General features: G+C 41.8%; 1 protein-coding gene and 1 pseudogene across 1 annotated transcript in view; one reads left to right on the forward strand and one right to left on the reverse strand.

The window, feature by feature from the left end:
• MERTK (MER proto-oncogene, tyrosine kinase) overlaps window positions 1-23,044 on the forward strand; it is a 130,955-nt gene that overhangs the window by 50,201 nt on the left and 57,710 nt on the right. The window contains exons 5-6 of the mRNA NM_006343.3: window positions 16,384-16,470; window positions 19,330-19,445. Coding sequence (NP_006334.2) covers window positions 16,384-16,470; window positions 19,330-19,445 — 203 coding nt within the window. The remainder of the gene's footprint in view (window positions 1-16,383; window positions 16,471-19,329; window positions 19,446-23,044) is intronic.
• Window positions 3,364-3,864, reverse strand: SLC30A6P1 (SLC30A6 pseudogene 1; annotated as a pseudogene).

A 23,044-nucleotide genomic window follows, 5' to 3' on the forward strand; every position in this document is an offset into this window, starting at 1 on the left:
TACCCTCCTGGGTGGCAGATGACATCACCTGCCTGCTGAAAACCCTGCAGTATCTCCCTTCTGTCTTAGACTGTCACCCAGTCCTTCCTGCCCTTTCCCTAGGGGCTGCGTGTCCTAGCTCCTTCCTATCTATCCAACCCAGCCCCATCCCATGCTCTCCATCCTGCTTGTTAGGCACGAGTCACATTGATTGTCTTTCACTTCTCTAGGCACATCCTGTTCCTTCCTGCCTCAGGACCTTTGCACTGTCTCTTCTATCTGCTTGCAGTGTTCTTCCATCGGCCCTTTGTCCCATGACCCAACTCATCACTTCTTCAGAGAGGCCATCCCTGATCACTCTTAACTGTTTTAGGTCCCCTCAATCCCATATTCCTGTGTACTCCTCCATTGCACTTGTCACCGTCTATAATTACCCAGTTTATTCATTGGGTCTCCTTGTCTAGCTTCTTAGAGAACATATGCTCAGTAAGGACAAGAGCTTTGTCTCTCCCATTCACCTCTGCACTGCCAGTGGCTGAAAAGGTACCTGCCTCCTAGTAGTACTCAGTAAATATTTATGGCTAGGATGGATCAGTAAGTGAATGCCAGCCCCTACCTATTAACTCTGAATCACTTTTCTAACCCGTGACTTCAGGAGGAATGTTATGGTTTTCTCTCCTTCATCTGAGTTTTCTTTGAGTTTTTTTAGGGAATTAAGTAACTTTTTATTCAAAATCAATTTTAAAAAATAGACTCTACCCTTTATAGGATGATCACTCTGAAATCCCATAAAGACTTATTTTCATTGAGGTAAAATTGACATACAATTAAGTGCATAGAATTCAGTTGTACAACTCAGTGAGTTTTCCTAAGTGTAGACACCCATGTAGCTACCACCTCGGTCAAGATATAGAATATTGCCATCACTTCAGAAAGTCCTTCATGATCCCTTCCAGTGGGTCACCATCTCCCATAGGCAATTCTGTTCTTATATCTGTCATCATAGAATAATTTTGCCTGTTCTTGAACTTCAAAAAATGGAATATAAAGTATGTACTTTTTTGTGTCATACATACTTTCCGTGGCTTCTTCCACTCAACATGATATCTTTGAGATTCATCCATGATGTTTTATCACTAGTACATCATCTTTATTTTTATTTTTATTTTCAGAAGGAGTCTTGCTCTGTTGCCCAGGCTGGAGTGCAGTGGCTCAATCTTGGCTTACTGCAAGCTCCACCTCCTGGGTTCAAGCGATTCTCCTGCCTCAGCCTCCTGAGTAGCCGAATTACAGGCACCTGCCACTACGCCTGGCTACTTTTTGTATTTAAGTAGAGACAGGGTTTCAGCATGTTGGTCAGGCTGGTCTCGAATTCCTGACCTTAAATGATCCGACCGCCTCCACCTCCTAAATTGCTGGGATTACAGGCATAAGCCACCGTGCCTGGCCAGTACATCATTTTTTATTGCTGATATAGTACTCTGTTGTATTAATGTGTTAATTTGGTTTATCCATTTGTTTGGTAAACATTTTGGATATTTGTGGCAGTTGGCTATTATGAATAAAGCAGCTATGAATATTTGAGTGCAAGTCTTTTGGAGGACATATGTTTTTATTTTGTCTTGGATAAATGCCTAGGAGAGGAATTGCTGCTTCATATGTTTAACTTTTAAAGAAACTACCAAATGGTTTTCCAAAGTGATTGTGCCATCTTTCATTCCAGCAACAGTGGATGAGAGAGTTCCAGTTGCTCATCGATATGTTTACCAACATTTGATTTGGTCAGTCTTCTTAAGTGTAGACATTTAGTGGATTTGAAATCTAGTAGATTATTGTGGTTTTAGTTTGCATTTCATTTCCCTGATGTCTAATTTTAGACAAGACTTAGAGAAGATTTTAGTGTCTCTTCTTGTGCTTATTAATCAGTCATGTCTCTTTTTTGGTGAAGCGTCACTTCAGGTCTTTTGCCCAATTCTATAAAAATCCTAGAATCCACTTGACAATGTTTACACAAAAATACCTGCTGTGATTTTGTCTGCAATCGTATTGTTTTTATAGATAAGTTTAGAAGAAAAAGACATCTTGACAATATTGAGCCTTCCAATCAATGAATACATTATATCTCTTCATTTATTTAGGTCTTCTTTAATTTCTCTCAGCAATTTTTGTAGTTTTTGTTGTAGAGGTCTTACAAGTCATTTGTTAAATTTTTTTTTATTTTAAAATTGGAATTGTATGTACTTAAGGTATACAATGTAATGTTTTGAAATACATAGTGAACTGATTATTCCAGCCAAGCTCATTAATATAGCTATCTTTTCACATAGTTACCATTTGTGGCGGAGTTCGGGGGGCGGGGAGGGAGGGAGGCGACAGGGGAGGGCATGTAGGAGGATGAGAACACTTAAGATCTACCCTCTTAGCAAATTTCCAGTATACTGTGCAATTTTGTTAACTGTGCTGTACATTAGATCTCTAGAACTTATTCATCCTGTGGACTAAAACTTTCTACCTTTTGACCAAGTCCTCACCCACCTCCACCCACCCTTTTAAACCACGGTTCTATTCTTTGTTTCTGTGAGTTTAACTTTTTTAGATTGCACATGTAAGTGAGACCATGCAGTAGTTTTTCTTTTCTTTGTCTGGTTTATTCACTTAGCATAATGTCTTCCAGTTTCATCCATGTTGTCATAAATGCCAGGATTTTCTTTTTTGTACACGCTGAATAATATTCCCATATATATATATATATATATATATATACCATAATTTTTTAATCCATTTATCTGTTTATGGACACTTACATTGTTTCCGTGTCTAAGCTATTATGAATAATGCTGCAATGAATATGGGACCACAGATACCTCTTTGAGATCCTCATACCATTTCCTTTGGATATATATACCCAGTATGGGAATTGATGAATCATATGGTAGTTCTATTTTTAATTTTCTGAGGAACCTCCAAACTATTTTCCTTAATGGCTATGCCAATTTACATTTTCATCAACAGTGTACAGCCAATCAGAATGCATTAATTTAGTACTTATGTACTAATAAATAGCATATTTGATTTTATTTCCCAATTATTTACTATTAGTAAATAGAAAATAGATTTTTGTATGTTTTATAAAAATAGGGACAAAATCTGTCCATCTCTGTTTGTCTAGAACTTTTCTGTATGTTTTCTCAAAATTAGAAGTGTGTTTTTGTGACAAGATGTGCAAACTATTTTAATACCCAAGGCTGTAGTTTGTCTTAGCTTGGAGATCTGATTTATTTCTAAAAGGTCAGTTACACCCTTACAACGACCACCTATTTTGCATTTCAAGTTCTTTACAATTTAATTTTACTTTTTAAAATTTGAAGCTTTTTTTTTTCTTTGGTAGAGAAGACTTGGGCTCACGTTTTTTTCCAGGGTGTTACGTGAAAATTCTCAAGGTGGACTACTAGGTTTAGCTGGAATCAATCTGACAGTGTTCATATCATCAGTACCCTTTAAAAGAGTCATTGGAATTACATGATGATCTGAAAAGTTTAGGAGACAGACCCAGACAGCAGGGCAGCCTAATCCAATCATCCTTAAAAATCTGAACAGTCAGAATAGAACTGTAGCATACAGCCTGTTGGTCACAGGAACAAGAACTATTTGTTCATTTGCATCTCACCAAATTCTTACATGCACTGATCCAACAAATGAGCCAAAACTTAGGCTCCAAAAATGTTCATTTTCGTCTTCTAAAACTCTGTAAAGTCTATCCAGGGTAGATACCTGTCTGAGTTTGTCCAGCTGACCAGTGCACGGGGTGGTGGAACCGAGTGTTGTTGCTTTCCCACTGTACACACTCATGGAATCCACAGTACCACATGCTGTCAGGGCAATGGCTCCACACTAATCTTCCCTGTTATTGTTCCAGTTTTAGTGTATGTGCTACCAAAGCGAGCACCACCAGTATTTCTTTAGGAGGGATATCTAAATGGGAGTTGAAGGGAAAAGTGAACATATTTTAAATTTTAATACATTCTAATCTCCCTCCAAAAAGGCCTTGCAAGTTGGCAATCTTTTTAGTGGAATATGGTAATATGTGCCCTATATCACATACACACAGTATTCAGTCTTGACTTTTTGCCAGTCTGATGGCAAATACTCTCATCTGTCAGAATATCTGATTTACGCCTCTGCCTGTTTCCATGAGACCAGGGGGGCTCTTGAAGGCAGGAACTGAAGGATTTTTTGGCCACATATTCAGGGGTCTGGTTCAGTGCCTGGAACATGGTAGTTGTAGAAATGACCAGTAGGAGAGCACTTGCGGCAGCATTCACCAGAAGGTGCTTCTGAATGTGGGTGTGCATGATGAATTCACTCTCCATCAGGGGCCATCGGGTACCAAAAACCAAAAACTGAACCATGATGATGGAAATCCTCACTAACATTTCACCAGCTGTTCTAGAGTTTTTAGAGTAGTGACAAATGTGTCTGTAAATGAAGAACTCTTACTTAAACTGCTGAGTCGAAATTCTAGTTTCTAAATCAATACGCAGTATACCGCACTGCTCAGGCAGTTTTCCTATTTGTGAAGGGTTTGGAAAGTGGGGCTGCTGACTTTATTTTTCTTAGTGACAGTATTTATTAAATGCCTGTTTCATAGTGAAGATGGTCTAGCTCATGCTATACAGTGAAGTGAAGGCCTGGAGGAGTAATCATATATTCAAGCCAGAAACCTGAAACTTACCCAGATTCTTCTCTCTCGCCCATCCAACAGTCATCACCAAGATCTGTACATTGTTCTCTCTTTTTTTTTTGTTTTGAGATGCAGTTTTGCTCTGTCGCCCAGGCTGGAGTGCAATGGCGTGATCTCTGCTTATCGCAACCTCTGCCTCCAGGGTTCAAGTGATTCTCCCGCCTCAGCCTCCCAAGCAGCTGGGATTACAGGCACCCACTATCATGCCCGGCTCATTTTTGTATTTTTGTAGAGATGGGGTTTCACCATGTTGGCCAGGCTAGTCTTGAACTCCTGATCTCAGGTGATCCACCCACCTTGGCCTCCCAAAGTGCTGGGACTACAGGCGTGAGCCACTGTGCCCAGGCCCTGTACATTGTTCTCAAATGTCAATTGTGCTCATTTCTTCCTCTGCCCTTCCACCACCATGGCCTTAATTCAGGCTTTCCTGGTTCATCGCCAGGACTGTTGCTGTCACCTCTTACCTGTGGTCCAATCTTTCTCGTTCTCATCCCCCTACCCCACCACCATAGTGAGTGATGCTCCACCTTGTGATTAAAGAGGTTCTCCTAAAATACAGAGCTTCTCATTCCTGGCATGACTCCCCACTACATGCAGGTTAAAATCTACCATTTTACCCTGAAGTCTGAGACCCATTGGGGCTTCAGCCTAACTTTCCCACGGTCTCCGCCTGCCTCACCTGCAAAGGCACCTGCTTGTGAGACCTGATGAACTTTTCGCAGGCCCATGAGCGACTGTGCCTTCTTGCCAAGCTGCCTTCTCATTGTCTGGCAAACCCCTGTTCACTTGACACACAGATCACGGCTCTCCTCTGAAAACCTTCCTGGTCACCCCCTTGTCTGTATATTCACAAGGCCTCTTCCCCATTGCATTGAAGAACAAACCCTCTATCTATTTGTCAGGCCTCCAAGAAGACTTACTAATCAAGTGATTATTATGTATGATTTATTAGTTAGGTTAGCCCCATCACCCAGCACAGTGCCTGGCACATAAGAACTATGTGAATGAATGAATGAACTAATGAGCAAACAAATGAATTACAAATAGTCCCCGAGTTTTAGGTCCTTTCACTGGGACAAAGGGACATCATGATAATGAAGTAACTTGTATTTATAAAATTATTTTTACATTTAAACTCTTATCTCTTTTCTCATTTATATCTCCAGCTGGTCCTGTAAAATTAATAGAACAGGATCTTTAATGTCCATTCTGTAGACCCAAAGGGCTAAAACAAGTCCAGGGAGGAAGGGCGTGGGGCCCAGGCTGCTGACTGTGGGGATTGTGCTGGGCTCACAGGGGTTACTCTCAAAAGTCAGCTAGTTGCTGACTGTTCCCTTGTGTCTGCGTTTTGTAACATTATAAAAGAACTACGTAAAAACTTATTTTTAATTAATTTTTTTTTAATTTTGAGGAAGCTTTAGTTTGATACCTGAGTCCCTTCCAGTAATTCATGTATGAGGAACTAGGTGCTGAGGTCAGCTTTGGGGGGCCTTGTGCAGAGTAGCTGCCCCTGACATGCTGATGTAAATAAAGCAGTGAGTGTTCCCAGGGGACGCCATTCTATCTGAAATTGACCCCTAAGTAAACTTTGCCGACCCCTTCTACTGAGGGAATGCTAAGTGGTTTAAATAGCCGATTGTTTGGACTGCTTTGAGCAAGCATTGTTTATGGAACAGGAAGGTCATATGCCTTTTCCCTCTTGATACAAGTTTTTATTTTTCCTCTGTGTTGTATGAGCTTTCTTTAAGGGACATGAAAAGAAGTACTTTGTCTAAAGGACATTATTCTGAGTGAACAAAGCCAATCTCAAAGGTTACGTGCTGTACAATTCCATTTAGATAACATTCTCAAAAGGACAAAATTTTGCTAATGGAGAACATATCAGAACAATTTCAGGGGTTAGGTTTGGGGGTAGGATGTTCTATAAGGGGGTAGAAGAGGGAGCTTCTTTTTGGCAATGGAACAGTTCTGTAGCCACAAATCTGTACCTGTCATAAAATTGCATAAACCTATACACTCATTCTTCCCCCCAAAATAAAACAAAGCAGAAACTGGTAAAATCTTAATAAGGCCTGTGTTTTAGTTAATAATATTGTACCAAAGTCACTTTCCTGGTTTTGATCATTATACCATGGTTATGTAAGATCTTATCATTGGGTAAAGCTGGGTGAAGGATGTACAGTAACTCTGCTATTTTTGCAACTTCTTGTAAGTCTAAAGTTATTTCAAAATAAAAAGTTTCTTTTTTAAAGAATTTTATCATGGGCAAAACCAAATCCCAAAATAAAGAGCAGAACTGCAAAGAGCTTTAGCTTCATGGTGTTCAATGGTGGAGTGCTTTATAAGTTAGTGGGTAAGCATGTTCTCACTCATAGGTGGGAATTGAACAATGAGAACACTTGGACACAGAAAGGGGAACATCACACACCGGGGCCTGTCATAGGGTGAGGGGAGGGGGGAGGGATAGCATTAGGAGATATACCTAATGTAAATGACGAGTTGATGGATGCAGCAAACCAACATGGCACATGTATACATATGTAACAAACCTGCACATTGTGCACATGTACCCTAGAACTTAAAGTATTAAAAAAAAAAAGTTAGTGGGTAAGAGCTCTAGCTTTGGCATGTAGACTGATGCCACTTTGCTGTCATGTATCCCTGGGCAAGTTACTCAACTTCTGTATATAAAATAGGGATAATAGCAGTGTCTACTACATAAAACATTTATGAGGTTTCAGTGAAATAATGAATGTAAAGCCCTTGGTACCAGGATTGCCTATAGGAATGATTGAAATGCTACCTATTATATTTTTTGTGTTGTTATTTTTATATGCAATAGTTACTAACTCATTGTCAATTTTGACCTGCCTTTCTGTTAACAGTGGTGGGCTTGCGTTGATCTTTCAGGCTTTTCTTTTTTAAAAAATACACATTTTATATTTAAATCCACATCTAGGAAACAGCTAAGCTAGCTTTTGTTTTAGTTAGCTGGATATAATTATTAATATCCTTGTAATAACAGAAACAACAGTAATAACTAGAATTTATACAAATTAGTTCATAATGCCCACAGTACTTTCTGTAAAGAATTACTTTGAATCACATAGCAAGCTGTGATAATTAGGCAGTTTTGTTGTTGTTGTGTTTAGAGACAAGGTCTTCTCTGTCACCCAGGCTGATGTGCAGTGGCGTGATCTCTACTCAATGTAACCTCAAAACTCCTGCACTCAAGCAAATCCCCCTACCTCAGCGCCCCAAGTAGCTAGGACTACAGGGATAAGAAGCTTTTTTCAAATTTTTTGTAGGACGGGATCTCACTATGTTGTCCAGGCTAGTTAGGCATTTTTAATACCCATTTTACATATTAGAAAAACATTTGGAGCTATTAAGAGACCTGCCTTCTTTTTTTCTTTTTTCTTTTTTTTTTTTTTATGTCACCCAGGCTGGAGTGCAGTGGCGTGATCTCAGCTCACTGCAAGCTCCACCTCCCGGGTTCACGCCATTGTCCTGCCTCAGCCTCCCAAATAGCTGGGACTACAGGGGCCAGCCACCTAGCCCGGCTAATTTTTTGTATTTTTAATAGAGGTGGGGTTTCACCGTGTTAGCCAGGATGGTCTCGATCTCCTGACCTCGTGATCCGCCCGCCTTGGCCAGTGCTGGGATTACAGGTGTGAGCCACTGCGCCCGGCGAGACCTGCCTTCTTAAGGTCTATTCTCCATGTGGCCGCTGGAGCAATCCTGATACAAGTCAGATCATATCAGCCCTCTGCTCAGAGCTCTGGGTTTTCTACCCAACTCAGAGAAAAAGGCAAAAGGCCTCTCCCACATGTTGCCTCTGCCTAGAACCTCCCCAGGCCCCCGAGTATCAACTTGGCCCATTTCCTCACTCCTACTCTTTCCTCAGAGGCCATTTCTCAAGGAACCACCTCTGATACCCCCCCGCCCATCATTTAAAATTACAGCTTGCTTCCCCACCCATCCTGACCCTCTGATCGTCTTCTGTTTTTCCATAGTACTTATCACCTTCTAATATATCATACATCTTACTTATCAAGGTTATTATTTATTGCCCATTTCTCCCCCTGAAAATGTGAGCTCTATAAGGGTGGGGATCTTGGTTTTATTCATGGATATATCCCAAGTTTCTGGAAAAAATGTCTGGCTTGTAGTACATACTCAGTAAATATTTGTCAAGTCGATGAAAGCAGAGCAGATAGAGAGGTCCAAGTTAAGAAGCTACCTCACTTATGCAGCATGATCTTCCATTTGTTGCTTCCTTTGGTAGAAAGATGGACACTAGGGAAAAAAGAAAAAGAAGGGACAGAATTGTTTATCTAGTTAATTTGCGGGATTGCTTAATCCAGAACTCAAAGAACTGGCTCAACTGTGCTCTTAGGAGTTGCTCCCTCAGCAATTCGGATTGTCCTTCTCTCAAGGGAACATCCTGTTACTGAATGTTCCTTAAAAATATCTGTCAGAGCTGTGTCATAAATATCTTTTCTCAAACCAGCAGAGGACCAAGCAAGAGGGGCGTGAACCATCATAATGGAGTTGGGTGAAAAGGAGAAATTGCTCTAAGAGGGACGACCTACCCACTAGAAGAGGAGTTGGCTCAGGAGATTGTGGGGGTTCCAGTGCCCGGGGCCATTCAGGATAGAGTGGGTGGGAGGGTGGAGACTTAGGGAGTTGGATGCTTTTTCTCCCTGGAAAGTCACAAGGGTTTGGGGCTGTAAATGTCAAGGTCTATTCCAGTCTGGTAGTTACTGTTCATCCACACAGAGAGAACTGGCGAGTGAGAGGGAGCTGTCTTCTCCTAGTGTACACTCATTGCTATGGTCAATCCAGGCTTATAAACGAGTGTCTAGTTGGGAAGCCAGTGCCATTAAGCCATTAAAGTTTAGCTGAAAAATTAAGCAAAGAAGACTATATTTGGCCCTAAGTGCTGTCTGGTTTTGGAGAAATTTACCTTTGGTTTGAACTAGTTTCCTCTTCTCTCTACTGGTATCTCTTTGGCCTATGGGCACCAACCACCTGACCTTGTACACTGTTTTAATACATTGTGTGGTTACTGCCAGGCAATTCAGACTTGGTGTAGGTGTCTTGTGCTAGGACATTTGCTATAGATTGTTTTTTTGACCTTGGGTGCACTATGAAAAGAAACACACAGGAGAAATGACTGTCCATTTGACCTGAAGTCATGTTCTGTGATAATGTTTCCCTTTCAGCATTAATAAACCTGTTAGGACTAAAGATCACTGGGCCTGAAATCTGCTACTATAGGATCCTACTATAGGTTCTATAACTGGATAATGGATCTCAGTGAAATAAACCTCCGGTTTTACCACAGGGCTGGCTCTTCCCCTTATGACAAGTTTGGAATGTAATTTTGTAGTTTGTATTCAAGGGTTTCCTAAGAGTTTTGATAATAATTGAAGTCAAATGACTAATTTTAAACTGCCAATGTCTCCTCCAATATATAAAAAAGGTAAGTTAGTAACTCCCTGTATCTTCTGATTGAGCCAAGGCCAATTTTTCTAAATATAAGCCAGGTTTTGCAAGTTCATGCAGCCTGGTGGTTGAAATGGGCATATCACTTGGGAGCTTAGGATCTGGAAGGTTAAAAGTGATGCCAAGGCATGAAAATCAAAGTGTTAAAGGCCTCACTGTGAAACAGTGATCAGCAGAGCATGGACCCCTTAGTGGGATCAGTGTCTCCATCCTCATCCTATATGTATCTTCTTTCTTAAAATCAATGCTTGACAACGTGCCCAAAGTCCAGTTACTTCGCCAGTTCTCCCTTTCCACCTCCCTATTTTCCTTTCATCTCTTCCTTGCATTACAAAAGAAAAAAGACCTCTCTTGCTTGTCTGGAATCACCACTATGAAGCATCAGTTCTCAATGCTTTGGTCTCAAGATCCTTCGTTTGTTTGTTTGTTTGTTTCTTTTTGGTTTTTTGTTTGTTTGTTTTTGTGTGTGTGTGACAGAGCCTGACTCTGTCGCCCAGCCTGGAGTGCTCACTGTAGCCTCAACCTCCTAGGCTCAGGTGATTCAGCCATCTCAACCTGCCAAGTAGCTGGGAATACAGGTGCATGTCACCATGCTCAGCTAATTTTTGTGTTTTTTGTAGAGATGGGGTTTCACCATGTTGCCCCAGGGTGGGGCAACTTCTGGACTTGAACTCTCGAACTTCTGGACTCAAGCAATCCTCCTGCCTCAGCCTCCTGTAGTGCTGGGATTACAGGAGTGAGCCCACTGTGCTTGGCCTCAAGATCCTTTTACAGTCATAAGTTATCAAGAACCAGAGTTCTTGTTTATGTGGGTCATATCTATCTATATTTACTGAATTAGAAATTAAAACTGAAAACTTTTAAAACACAAAAATACACAAGCATACACTTCATTGGCTAATACATCTATGCTATGGCATCATCATATATCATATAGCCTCTGGGAAATTCTTTTGGAAAATTCCATCATATATTCCTGAGATAATGAGAATTAAAAGAGCAAACAATATATTATTATTATGAAAATAGTTTTGACTCTGAGGACTACAGAAGGGGTCTCTGGAATCCCCAGAAGTCTCTTGACCATATTTTGAGAATGGTTGCTGTGGTGCATTGTCTTGGGGTTAAGAAATTTCCAGAGACAGAAAATTCCAAATTTTGGCTGGACGTGGTGGCTCACGCCTGTAATCCCAGCACTTTGGGAGGCTGAGGCAGGTGGATCACCTGAGGTCAGGAGTTCAAGACCAGCCTGGCCAACATGGTAAAACCCTGTCTCCATTAAAAATACAAAAATTAACCGGGCGTGGTGGTGCATGCCTGTAATCCCAGCTACTTGGGAGACTGAGGCAGGAGAATCGCTTGAACCTGGGAGGCGGAGGTTGCAGTGAGCCAAGATCATGCCATTGCCCTCCAGCCTGAGTGACAGAGCGAGTCTCAGTCTCAAAAAAAAAAAAAAAAAAAAAGAAAAGAAAATTCCAAATTTTGTCCAGCAAAGAAATTGCTCTTCCAATAAAGTTGTACTTATGTTTAAGAATCACTTACATTGTTTTGATTAATTGCATCCTAATAATGAGTATAATCAATTCAGAAGAAAATATTTTTGCAATTTCAAGGTATATATATGTTTTTGTTGCCAATAAGTTCCCATGGTTTAAGCAAAAACTTTCAAATGTGTACCATTAAGATGAAATTCTTGGGGCTGGTAGAAGAGTCATGGTGGAAAACTTGCTGCTGGGGAAGAGTCGTTACAGTGGGTGTTGGTGTCAAGATATTCAAGGTACCTCAAATTACATTTTTTGAAGATGTTTAAATTACGAAAAATTTAAGGATGCAAACTTCAAAATGTGTCAGAGTCCACGTATATTTTTCAAAATTCTCTAGGAGTAATACAAGCAGAAGATATAAAGACCCCGAGGCAGAGTATCACAGGGATCCTTTTATAGATGTGTGTGTAATGGGTGTGAGAGAAATATTCCTCCTCAGTGCAATAAATATTTTCTAATTCACTACACAAACTAGTAGCAGTTTCATGCCTCACTTGAGAAGAAGTGACCAAAATATGAAAGTAGATGGCTTCTACCAGGAGTTTTTGTTTCTTAGCACTTTAAATTTTCTTTCTTTTTTTTTTTTTTTTTTTTTTTGAGATGGAGTCTTGCTCTGTCGCCCAGGCTGGAGTGCAGTGGTGTGATCTCGGCTCACTGCAAGCTCCGCCTCCCAGGTTCAGCCATTCTCCTGCCTCAGCTTCCCGAGTAGCTGGGACTACAGGCGCCCGCCACAACGCCCGGCTAATTTTTTTGTATTTTTAGTAGAGACAGCGTTTCACAGTGTTATCCAGGATGGCCTCAATCTCCTGACCTCCGCCCGCCTCAGCCTCCCAAAGTGCTGGGATTACAGGCATGAGCCACCGCACCCGGCCGGCGTTTTAAATTTTCAAGAGAATTTAATTAAGCAATCCAGCTTAGGGTTTCCTCCCATCTGAGGGAAGTATTCCTCGTCTTTGAAAATTAAGATACTGTGAAGTAGCAGTCAAATCCTCTCCATAATACCATGTTATTTTTGAAGAAATGAAAGGTTACCACCGAATCATAGGACAGAGATGTATGGGTTTGCTTTTCCCTGAGGGACCCGTGTGTAGTCAGGGAAACGCAGACACTGGTGACAACCTTCCATCTAGATGGAAAATAACAAAAACCCACCAGCACTGATTTTCTTTTTTATGCACATTTAACCCCTCAGGAGAAGCACTAATATAAAAAGGATCAGACATGCATTTTTTCTACAGCGTCTCTCAGTCACAGCTCTCTGCCATGTAGTGACCACTTGGCTGCAGCCGGGGCGCAGTCGTGGCCATGCAGACATCCGACCAGGAACAGCTTTTCTAGGCTGATGCCTGCTGTGCTTCCCTCAGCAAGTTTTTTTCCCTTTCATTCTTCAAATATTTTATTACTGTTATTAGTGATAAGCTTTGAGTTTAAAAATATCTGATGGAAAATTTCCTACACATGTAGACAGAAGACACAAAATAAGCTTTTCTGCCAAGAAGCAAATGGTGGCATATTTTCAACAATTTTATGAAGATACTACTGTATGTCAGATGATGTTTCTGTGTGCCACAGATATAGAAGTTTCCAGATTCAACTACATAGTAAATACTTGTATAGTTGTAATTCTAAAAAATAACCATTCAGGTCGGGTGTGGTGGCTCACACCTGTAATCCTAGCGTTTTAGGAGGCCAAGGCAGGTGGATCACCTGAGGTCGGGAGTTCAGGACCAGCCTGGACAACATGGTGATACCCCGTCTCTACTAAAAATACAGAATTAGCCGGGCATGGTGGCAGGTGCCTGTAATCCCAACTACTTGGAAGGCCGAGGCAGGAGAATCACTTGAACCTGGGAGGTGGAGGTTGTAGTGAGCCGGGATTGCACCATTGCCTGGGTGATGACAGAGTGAGTCTCGACCTCAAGAAAAAAAAATTTCAAATTTTAGGATTGTTTTAGACTTATAGAAAAACACTGGGGATAATACAGTGATTTCCCATAAACCCCACCCCCACTTTCCCCTATCGTTAGCATTTTACATTGGTGTGGTGCATTTGCTACAATTGATGAACCAATACGGATACATCATCATTAACTAAGGTCCATACTTTAGTGATATTTCCTTAGCTTTTTACCTCCTGTCCTTTTTCTGTCCCAGGATCTCATCCAGGACACCACATTGCATTTAGTCATCTATGTCTTATTAGGCTCCTCTTGGCTGTGACAATTTCTCAAACTTTCCTTGTTTTGAATGACCTTGACAGTGAAGGGGTGGGTTGCTCCTCCACACCTGTGGGTGTTTCTTTTTAGGTGGAACGAGAGACTTGGAAAAGAAAAAGACACAGAGATAAAGTATAGAGAAAGAAATAAGGTGGCCCAGGGGACCAGTGTTCAGCATATGGAGGATCCTGCCGGCCTCTGAGTTCCCTTAGTATTTATTGATCATTCTTGGGTGTTTCTCGGAGAGGGGGATGTGGCAGGGTCATAGGATAATAGTGGAGAGAAGGTCAGCAGATAAACACGTGAACAAAGGTCTCTGCAACATAGACAAGGTAAAGAATTAAGTGCTGTGCTTTAGATATGCATACACATAAACATCTCAATGTCTTAAAGAGCAGTATTGCTGCCGCATGTCCTACCTCCAGCCCTAAGGCGGTTTTCCCCTATCTCAGTAGATGGAACATACAATGGGGTTTTATACGGAGACATTCCATTGCCCAGGGATGGGCAGGAGAGCAATGCCTTCCTCTTGTCTCAACTGCCAAGAGGCGTTCCTTCCTCTTATACTAATCCTCCTCAGCACAGATCCTTTACGGGTGTCGGGCTGGGGGACGGTCAGGTCTTTCCCTTCCCACGAGGCCATATTTCAGACTATCACATGGGGAGAAACCTTGGACAATACCTGGCTTTCCTAGGCAGAGGTCCCTGCGGCCTTCCGCAGTGTTTGTGTCCCTGGGTACTTGAGATTAGGGAGTGGTGATGACTCTTAACGAGCATGCTGCCTTCAAGCATCTGTGTAACAAAGCACATCTTGCACAGCCCTTAATCCATTTAACCCTGAGTTGACACAGCACATGTTTCAGGGAGCACGGGGTTGGGGGTAAGGTTACAGATTAACAGCATCTCAAGGCCGAAGAATTTCTCTTAGTACAGAACAAAATGGAGTCTCCTATGTCTACTTCTTTCTACACAGACACAGTAACAATCTGATCTCTCTTTCTTTTCCCCACAGACAGGTTTTAGGTATCACTGGTCAGGTGTTTTGTAGAATGTCCCACAATTTAGAACTGACTGGTATTTTTTTCATCATTAGCCTGGGGTTTTTTTGTTCTCGGGAGGAAGGCCATAGAGGTGAAGTGACATTTTCATCACCTGTTTCCAAGGGTACATTCTGTCAACATGATATAGCACTTGATCATCTGGCTCAGGTAGTTTGTCAGTTTCTCCACTCAAAAATTTTCTTTCTTTTTTTTTTTTGCTCTTTCCATAATGTACTTGTTGGAAGGAGTCACTGTATGCAGCCCATTAAGGAGTGGGGAGTTATGCTCCACCTCTTTGAGGGCAGAATATCCAATAAACTATTTGGAATTATTCTGCAAGAAGGTTTGTCTATTCTCTCCAATTTATCTAATTATTTGTTGATATCAGTAGAGACTCCTGGATATTTTTTTCTTCTTTGGGTTATAATCCAAAGCTACTTTATTTTCCTGCTCAAATTGTTCCAGCTTTGGCCATTGGGAACTCTTTGAGTTAGCTGCTGTGTCTCTTTGACATGCCCCATCATTGTCTCGTGTGTGTGTGTGTGTGTGTGTGTGTGTGTGCGCGCGCGCACGCGCATGTGTGTGTGTGTACGTTGTGTGTTGTGTTTGTTTTATATTTTACTCCAGACTTATATATTTCCTGCTCCAATCTGAGAATCAGCCATTTCTCCAAGGAGCCCTGGTTCCATTTATTGGAGAATGGCATTAGAAAACAAGATCTGGCTAACTTGTCTTCCTATTTAAAATTAATAAATCAATTTTTTAAAGATGTCTTCAAACCTCTGAAATGATAGAATTTTTCATTTAGCACTAGTGTCTTCTCTTCGATTAGTTATAACGCCTTGCATTTATATGATGCATCCTTGTGAATTGACCAGTTTTTACTATTAAAAAAGGATTCATTACAACACATCATCTGAGATTTTTAAACTGTGGCTTTTATTTTGCTATTTCTGGTATTCTGAAATATGCATAGCATAGTGGCCCTGTATGTACTGGGGGGTTAGGCAGCAGGATCAGGTGAGCCTCAGAACCCACTTTCCTTGATATTGGGGCTAGCGATTTGCAGTAAAAATCTAAATGATCCTGCTTTATTACCTAATGTCTCACCATTCAGGATCTGAATAAATGAAAGCAGCTGCCTTTTGGGCCCATGGCTACCTTGCTCTTGGTGCCTTGGGTTTAATCCCAGGTTTGTTTCTCCATAGCTAGCACACCTTTTAAATTAACTTTGCACTAATGCCCAAAAGCCATGAACCAAGAAATAAAATAATACAAAGACAACCATAGAATTGTAGTGAACAGCAGCCTGTTTCTCTGCTGCTGGTCTCATGAGTCTCCTTCCATTCCAGGCCTGACGGAGATGGCGGTCTTCAGTTGTGAGGCCCACAATGACAAAGGGCTGACCGTGTCCAAGGGAGTGCAGATCAACATCAAAGGTAAGCAGCAAGGCTAGGCTCCCCATGCATGTTCTGGGAGCTGGTGAGGGTACAGCATGAGCTTGCAGCTGGCTGCCTGGGTGTGGATCCTGGCTTTCTCACTGTCTCAAGGTTCTTTGTGACCTTGGACAACTCACTTCTCCTCTTTGGTGTCAGGGTTCCCCTCTGAAAAGTGGAGATAATTACAGAACCTACCTATTGTTGAGGCTTATTGATTTAATACAAGTAAATTACTCAGAAGTGCCTGGCATATAGGTCTTTGATAAACATTCACTCGTTTAGCTCTGCTTACTCCAAGAAGAAAACAAGCTAAAATGTTTTCTCTTTCTTAGTTCCTATTTTCACTTTTCCCTCTTCCACCGTGAACTACTCATTAACCCTTGAAGAGCCCTGGGGATGGGGCTTTCTTGGGGCATGATCTAGGAAATGGACCCTGTCCTTCCCAGGTCAGCGGGGCCTGCTGACTGACTCCCTGCCACCTACTGACTCAGGGAGACAGAGGAAAAGCAAGAAGCAGATCACTCTTTGGAGCCCAATGCTCCTATCCCTCTTCCTCCTAAACTCCCTCTTCCTCTTGTTTCCTCTGAGCTAGGATTTCACTAGGCTGAGCTTGCTTGGCCGTGAGTTATGATAATAGAATTAAAGGCACACATTTGAAGGCCTCCAAGCTAGTGGAGACATTTCAATCCAATCTACCTTATTCTCCTTCTGTGTGATCAAAGGTGTTAAACTTGAAATTTGAAAGAAAAGAAAAACCTACAATTAGGTAGTATCTTTTTATTTCATTTTAAATCATCCTCCTTAGTGTGTCATAGAAATTCAAGCAAATTTTATGTTTTACTATTTAATCATAGTTTAAATATTGAGAAGTAATTATTTGGCTCATGTTCTTTTCCTCTTGTCCTTAGGGAAACAGTGCAAGGAAAAAGGAGAACTTGTTTAATAATGAATTAAAGGTTGGGTACATACAGAAGGAGACTCAAAATTACAAAAGAAGTTATACTCAAAAAAGATGCTAATTTTAGTTTCAGCAAATCAACTGGACAAACGCTATGAAAGGGAATATTCTAAAAGTTCACTGGGATAAAAAAATAACCAAACTAAAAGTTATTACTGGAGGAAGTGTATAACTTCCTTCCTTCATCACAATTCCCATTATTACAATTTCCAAAAGACATGTTGGGAATGTCAAAAATTCATGAGTGTGTGTGAGTTTGTAAAGACATTTTCATGAAGTATAAACCTCTTAAAATTTAAAAATGTATAAAATGAAAAGCACTTCTCCAATTTTATGCTTCAGAATCTCAGCTAAGGTTTTATTCTATTAGATCATTCCCCAAACTTCTGTTTTTGGCTTTCATTTATTATAAAATTTATGTCAAAGCTACCAAGCCTCCCTTCTTCTAATGTGTAATTACTATGGTATATGTGGTCAAATTTTGGTCTGGAAAGGCAGATGCTTTAGGGCAGTTCCACAAATAATCTGTGGAGGAAAGTGAGTCAAACCTTATTCTTCCCCATTCCCAAGGCTTTGTGTGTACTAATCAAACCCAAACTCCTAAATGTGGCCCCCAGGGCACGCTTGATATGGTCTTGACACACCTTCCTCCTTCTCTCCTGCTCATTCCATCATCACCTTCATCCTCACCACACCCTCCCTGGGCCTCATCCACAGTTCCCCACATTTATTCCTCACCACAGCTCCATGGAGCAGTGCTGGTACTATCCCCATTTATAGAGGAGACAACTGTGTGTAGTTGTAGATAGGGCGTGTGTAGCTGTGCCTGGGGCCATACAGCAGGTCAGGTGGTAAACCAGACTCACAGTCCCTGCTGGTGTTCCCACTGTCTGCTTGCTGCCCTTGGCAATAGGCCTCCAGTGTCCTGTTGAGGGACACAAGCTCCAGGGTCAGGCAGACCAGAGTTCAAGTCCCTGTTGTACTGCTTACAACCTCTCTGTGACTTTTGCCAAGCTTTTAACTTCTCTGATCCTGTTTCCTTATCTATGAATGTGGATTGTAAGACTACTTCTCTAATTGGATTCTAGGAATGATTAAAGAAAGCCCTCAAAGTGTCTGGCACATAGCAAGCACAGGAAGTGTTAGCCTTCATTTTTAATTATGAGTGTAATTATTATTATGAATTAAATTCAGCACAAAGAAATAAGATTCCCCAAATTTAAGATCCTTCTTGGATTCTAATTGAAATAGCTACCCTTCACCCATCTGTTTCCAAGGTCATAGCCCACCCATTCGAGGACACACACCCCTTCCCCTCCCCCAGCAGATGCAGCTGGCTCTTTTGCTTGAACTGACTCTTAGTGTTTCCTCGGCCTGGAAAGCTCCCCCTACACATGCACACATACACATGCACACTCATGCGTGCACACACTCTCCTGTGGCACCCCTCTCTTCTGGTGACAGGGCGCTCTTATTCTTGGTTAACGTGGGTCTCCTATACCAGGCCATGTGCTCCACGAGGGCAGGGCTATGACTCTGTCTCTGTTTAGTAAGCTAGTGCCCAGCCAGGTGCACACAGTAGGGTCCATGAACATGTACTCAGTAAAGGACATGAGTATTTCCACATCTTTTCCAGTTCAAAGGTCTCCTCATTTCATTAGTGAATAGGAAAGTGGGTCTGCGTTCACTTCTTTGGCCCTTCACTGGAAGACTTCTTTGGCCCATCCATAGGCTAACACAATTACCCTCAGGCATAGGGAGGCTCCTCTTGAAAACATGTTTCCCTTTACTAATCTCAAGGAACGAAAACAGGTATTAATGCATTTGTTTGGTAGCTGTAGCCTGTCATCTATAATTGTGTTTGTGTGTGTATGTGTGTGTGTGTGTTTTGTTTTATGCAGCAATTCCCTCCCCACCAACTGAAGTCAGCATCCGTAACAGCACTGCACACAGCATTCTGATCTCCTGGGTTCCTGGTTTTGATGGATACTCCCCGTTCAGGAATTGCAGCATTCAGGTAAAGTTCCAGGGTGAAGAGGGAAGTAGCTGTTTGGTGCTCTCTGTGGGTTTAAGGATTTTTCTTCCTTCCAAGGATGGGCATGGAGGGCATTTCTCCATCTCTGTACAGAGTCCCCTGACCTCCCTGCTTCAGTGTCCAGCATGCATGCACTATTCCATGTCCATGCTCTGCCCATGATACTGTGTCCTTCCTGTGCAGGATTCAGGGCTCAGTCAGAAGCAAAACGTGTTTCCAAGGGAGAACATCATGAGACCAGGGAGAGTTCTTCTTCTTTTTTTTTTTGAGACAAAGTTTTACTCTTGTTGCCCAGGCTGGATGCCCAGGCTGGAGTACAATGGTGTGATCCCGGCTCACCGCAAACTCCACCTGGTTCAAGCAATTCTCCTGCCTCAGCCCCCTGAGTAGCTGAGATTACAGGCGTGCATCACCATGCCCGGCTAAGTTTGCATTTTTAGTAGAGATGGGGTTTCTCCATGTTGGTCAGGCTGGTCTCAAACTCCCAACCTCAAGTGATCCGCCCGCCTCGGCCTCCCAAAGTACTGGGATTACAGGCGTGAGCCACCACGCCCAGCCAAGACCAGGGAGAGTTCATTTTTAAGGTCCCGAAACACATGCTTGTGACCAAGAGTTGAGGAACCCAGGCACTCCCCAGTGTGGCTCCTTCTGGGCTGGTGGCCATGAAGGACAGAAGGGCCAGGACAAGATAGGTCGTCTGTGCTACTGAGCGTAGCACCTTACCCAGTGTCACCGGGGGATCCTGGTCATTGCAGGCCTTGTGGAATCTTCAGCCATTTTTCACTGCTGCCTTGAATGGGTATGAAACGGTGCTATTAGCCATCCTAAAATGATAACTTGCCCATGATGTAAGCTGTGCTCTTGAGTTTTCACTTCATAAAAATGAAAATGGTGGCAGTAACAACTGTTTACTAAGGGACCACAGGGGCTTTGCAAACATTATCTTACTTAACACACGCTGCACTGCAGGCTCAGAGTACTCACACAGCCTGTGAGTGGTAGAACCAGAACTCAAGTCCAGGAAGCTCCAGTGCCTAAAGCAGCGGTCAGAACCATCAGCTCTTCCGTCTCAGGAGGGACATCGCATCTGGGAGCAGGTTACCGAACATGCAGGAATTATCCACTAAAAGTATTAATGCATCCTGCCTGGTACTTAATCATACAGTAGGGTCAGGAATTAGTTTACTAAATATCTGGTCTCATTAGTTAAAAATATGTTAACCTGACACAGGCCAGTCATGCCAACACAGCTCAAAGAATTTTGTGTTGACAACTAGATGTTTTTACTCGCTAGTCAAATTAATTTCTCTGTTCTTAACGCCTCCCACTTTTATCTAACAGGTGTTCCTTCCCTGAAGAGTAAAAGCCTGTATTATCCGTAAAATAGCCTCCGCCCTCACCCACCACCTCCAGCCTTTCTTTTTTTTTTTTTTTTTTTTGAGACAGAGTCTCGCTCTGTTGCCCAGGCTGGAGTGCAGTGGCGCGATCTCAGCTCACTGCAAGCTCCACCTCCCGGGTTCACGCCATTCTCCTGCCTCAGCCTCCTGAGTAGCTGGGACTACAGGCCCCCGCCACCGCGCCCAGCTAATTTTTTGTATTTTTAGTAGAGACGGGGTTTCACCGTGTTAGCCAGGATGGTCTCCATCTCCTGACCTCATGATCCGCCTGTCCCGGCCTCCCAAAGTGCTGGGATTACAGGCGTGAGCCACCGCGCCCTGCCCAGCCTTTCTTAATTCTTGCTCAGTTTTGTTTTTTGTTTTTTTTCCTGTAAGCCTCCCAAGCACTGGTAAGTGTTAGGAATTCTTACTGCATCTACAATTCCTCACCAGGAATGGTCTTTTTTGTGATTGATTTTTTTTAACACCTTTTTTTGAGATATAGTTTACTTTTTTTTTTTTTAATTTGAGACGTAGTCTCGCTCTGTTACCTAGGCTGGAGTGCAGTGGTGTGATCTCGGCTCACTGCAACCTCTGCCTCCTGGGTGCAAGCAATTCTCCTGCCTCACCCACCCGAGTAGCTGGGACTACAGGCGGGTGCCACCACGCCCACCTAATTTTTGTATATTTACTAGACATGGGGTTTCACCATGTTGACCAGGCTGTTCTCAAACTCCTGACCTCAAGTGATCCACCAGCCTCAGCCTCCCAAAGTGCTGGGATTACTGGTGTGAGCCACCACGCCCAGCTGAGATATATTTTATATACCATTATATTCACCCATTATTTAAAATGTACAGTTCAACGGTGTTTAGTATATTCAAGAATTGTGCAGCCATTACCACTATCTAATTGTGTCTATATTCATAAGAGATATTTGTCTGTAGTTTTCTTGTGGTAGCTTTTTCTGGTTTTGGCATCAGTGTAATATTGACCTTCTAGAATAAGTATGAAAGTCCTCCTCCTCCTTCTCCTCCTCCTCCCTCCTCCTCCTTCCACCTCCCTCCTCCTCCCTTGTCCTTCCTCCCCCTACTCCTCCCTCCTCCCTTCTCCTCCTCCTCCTCCCTCCTCCTCCTCCTCCCTCCTCCTCCTCCCCCCTCCTCCTCCTCCTCCCTCCTCCTCCCTCCTCCTTCTCCTCCTTCTCCTCCTCCTTCTCCTCCTTCTTCTCCTTCTTCTTGTTCTTTTCTTGGAAGAATTTGTGAAAGATTGATGTTAAATCTTCTTTAAATATTTAATAAAATTTGTTCTCTTTGTGGAAAGTTTTTTCAATATTAGCTCAATCTTTTTACTTGGTATGAGTCTATTCAGATTTTCTATTACTTCTTGAGTCAGCTTTGGTAGTTTCTATGTTATAGGAACTTGAACATTTCGTCTCAGTTATCTAATTTATTGGTATACAACATAGTACATAGTATTCCATTATAACCTTTTTTATTCTTTGAGGTTAGTAATAAGATCCCCTGTTTCATTCCAGGTTTTAGTAATTTGTCTTCTCTCTTATTTTTCTTAGTCAGTCCAGCTAAAAATCTGTCAATCTTATTTATCTTTTTGAATAACCAACCTTTGATTTTGTGAATTTTTTTCTATTGTTTTTGTATTCTATATTTTCTTTATTTCTGCCTTAATTTTTGTTTCTTTTTTTTCTGTTTGCTTTGGTTTAGTTTGCTCTTTTTCTAGTTTTGTAAGGTAGAGGTTAGGTTATTGATTGTGTTCTTTTATATATAAAAAAAAATAGGCATTTACACTCTACATTTCCCTGTAAGCACTGCTTTAGCTGCATCCCATAAGGTTTTCGTTGTTGTTGTTGTTGTTCATCTCAAGTTTTCTGTCATTTTCCTTGTGAATTTTTTTTGTCCTCTTGATTATTTAGAAGTGTGTATTTAAATTGTCACATAATTATGAATTTCCCAAATTTTCTTCCTTTACTGATTTCTAATGTTATTTTACTGTGTTTGGAGAATATACTTCACATGACTGTGATCCTTTTAAATTTATTAAGGCTTGTTTTATGACCTAAGTCCTATCCTGGAGAAAGTTTTGTGTGCACCTGAGAAGAATGTACATTCAGCTGTTGTTGGATGAAGTGTTTTGTGCATGTGGTTTAGGTCTTGTTGGTTTAGAGTCTTCAGTCTTCTGTTGCCTTGC

Source organism: Homo sapiens, chromosome 2, assembly GCF_000001405.40.
Source record: "Homo sapiens chromosome 2, GRCh38.p14 Primary Assembly".
In the NCBI taxonomy this organism is placed as follows: Eukaryota; Metazoa; Chordata; class Mammalia; order Primates; family Hominidae; genus Homo; species Homo sapiens.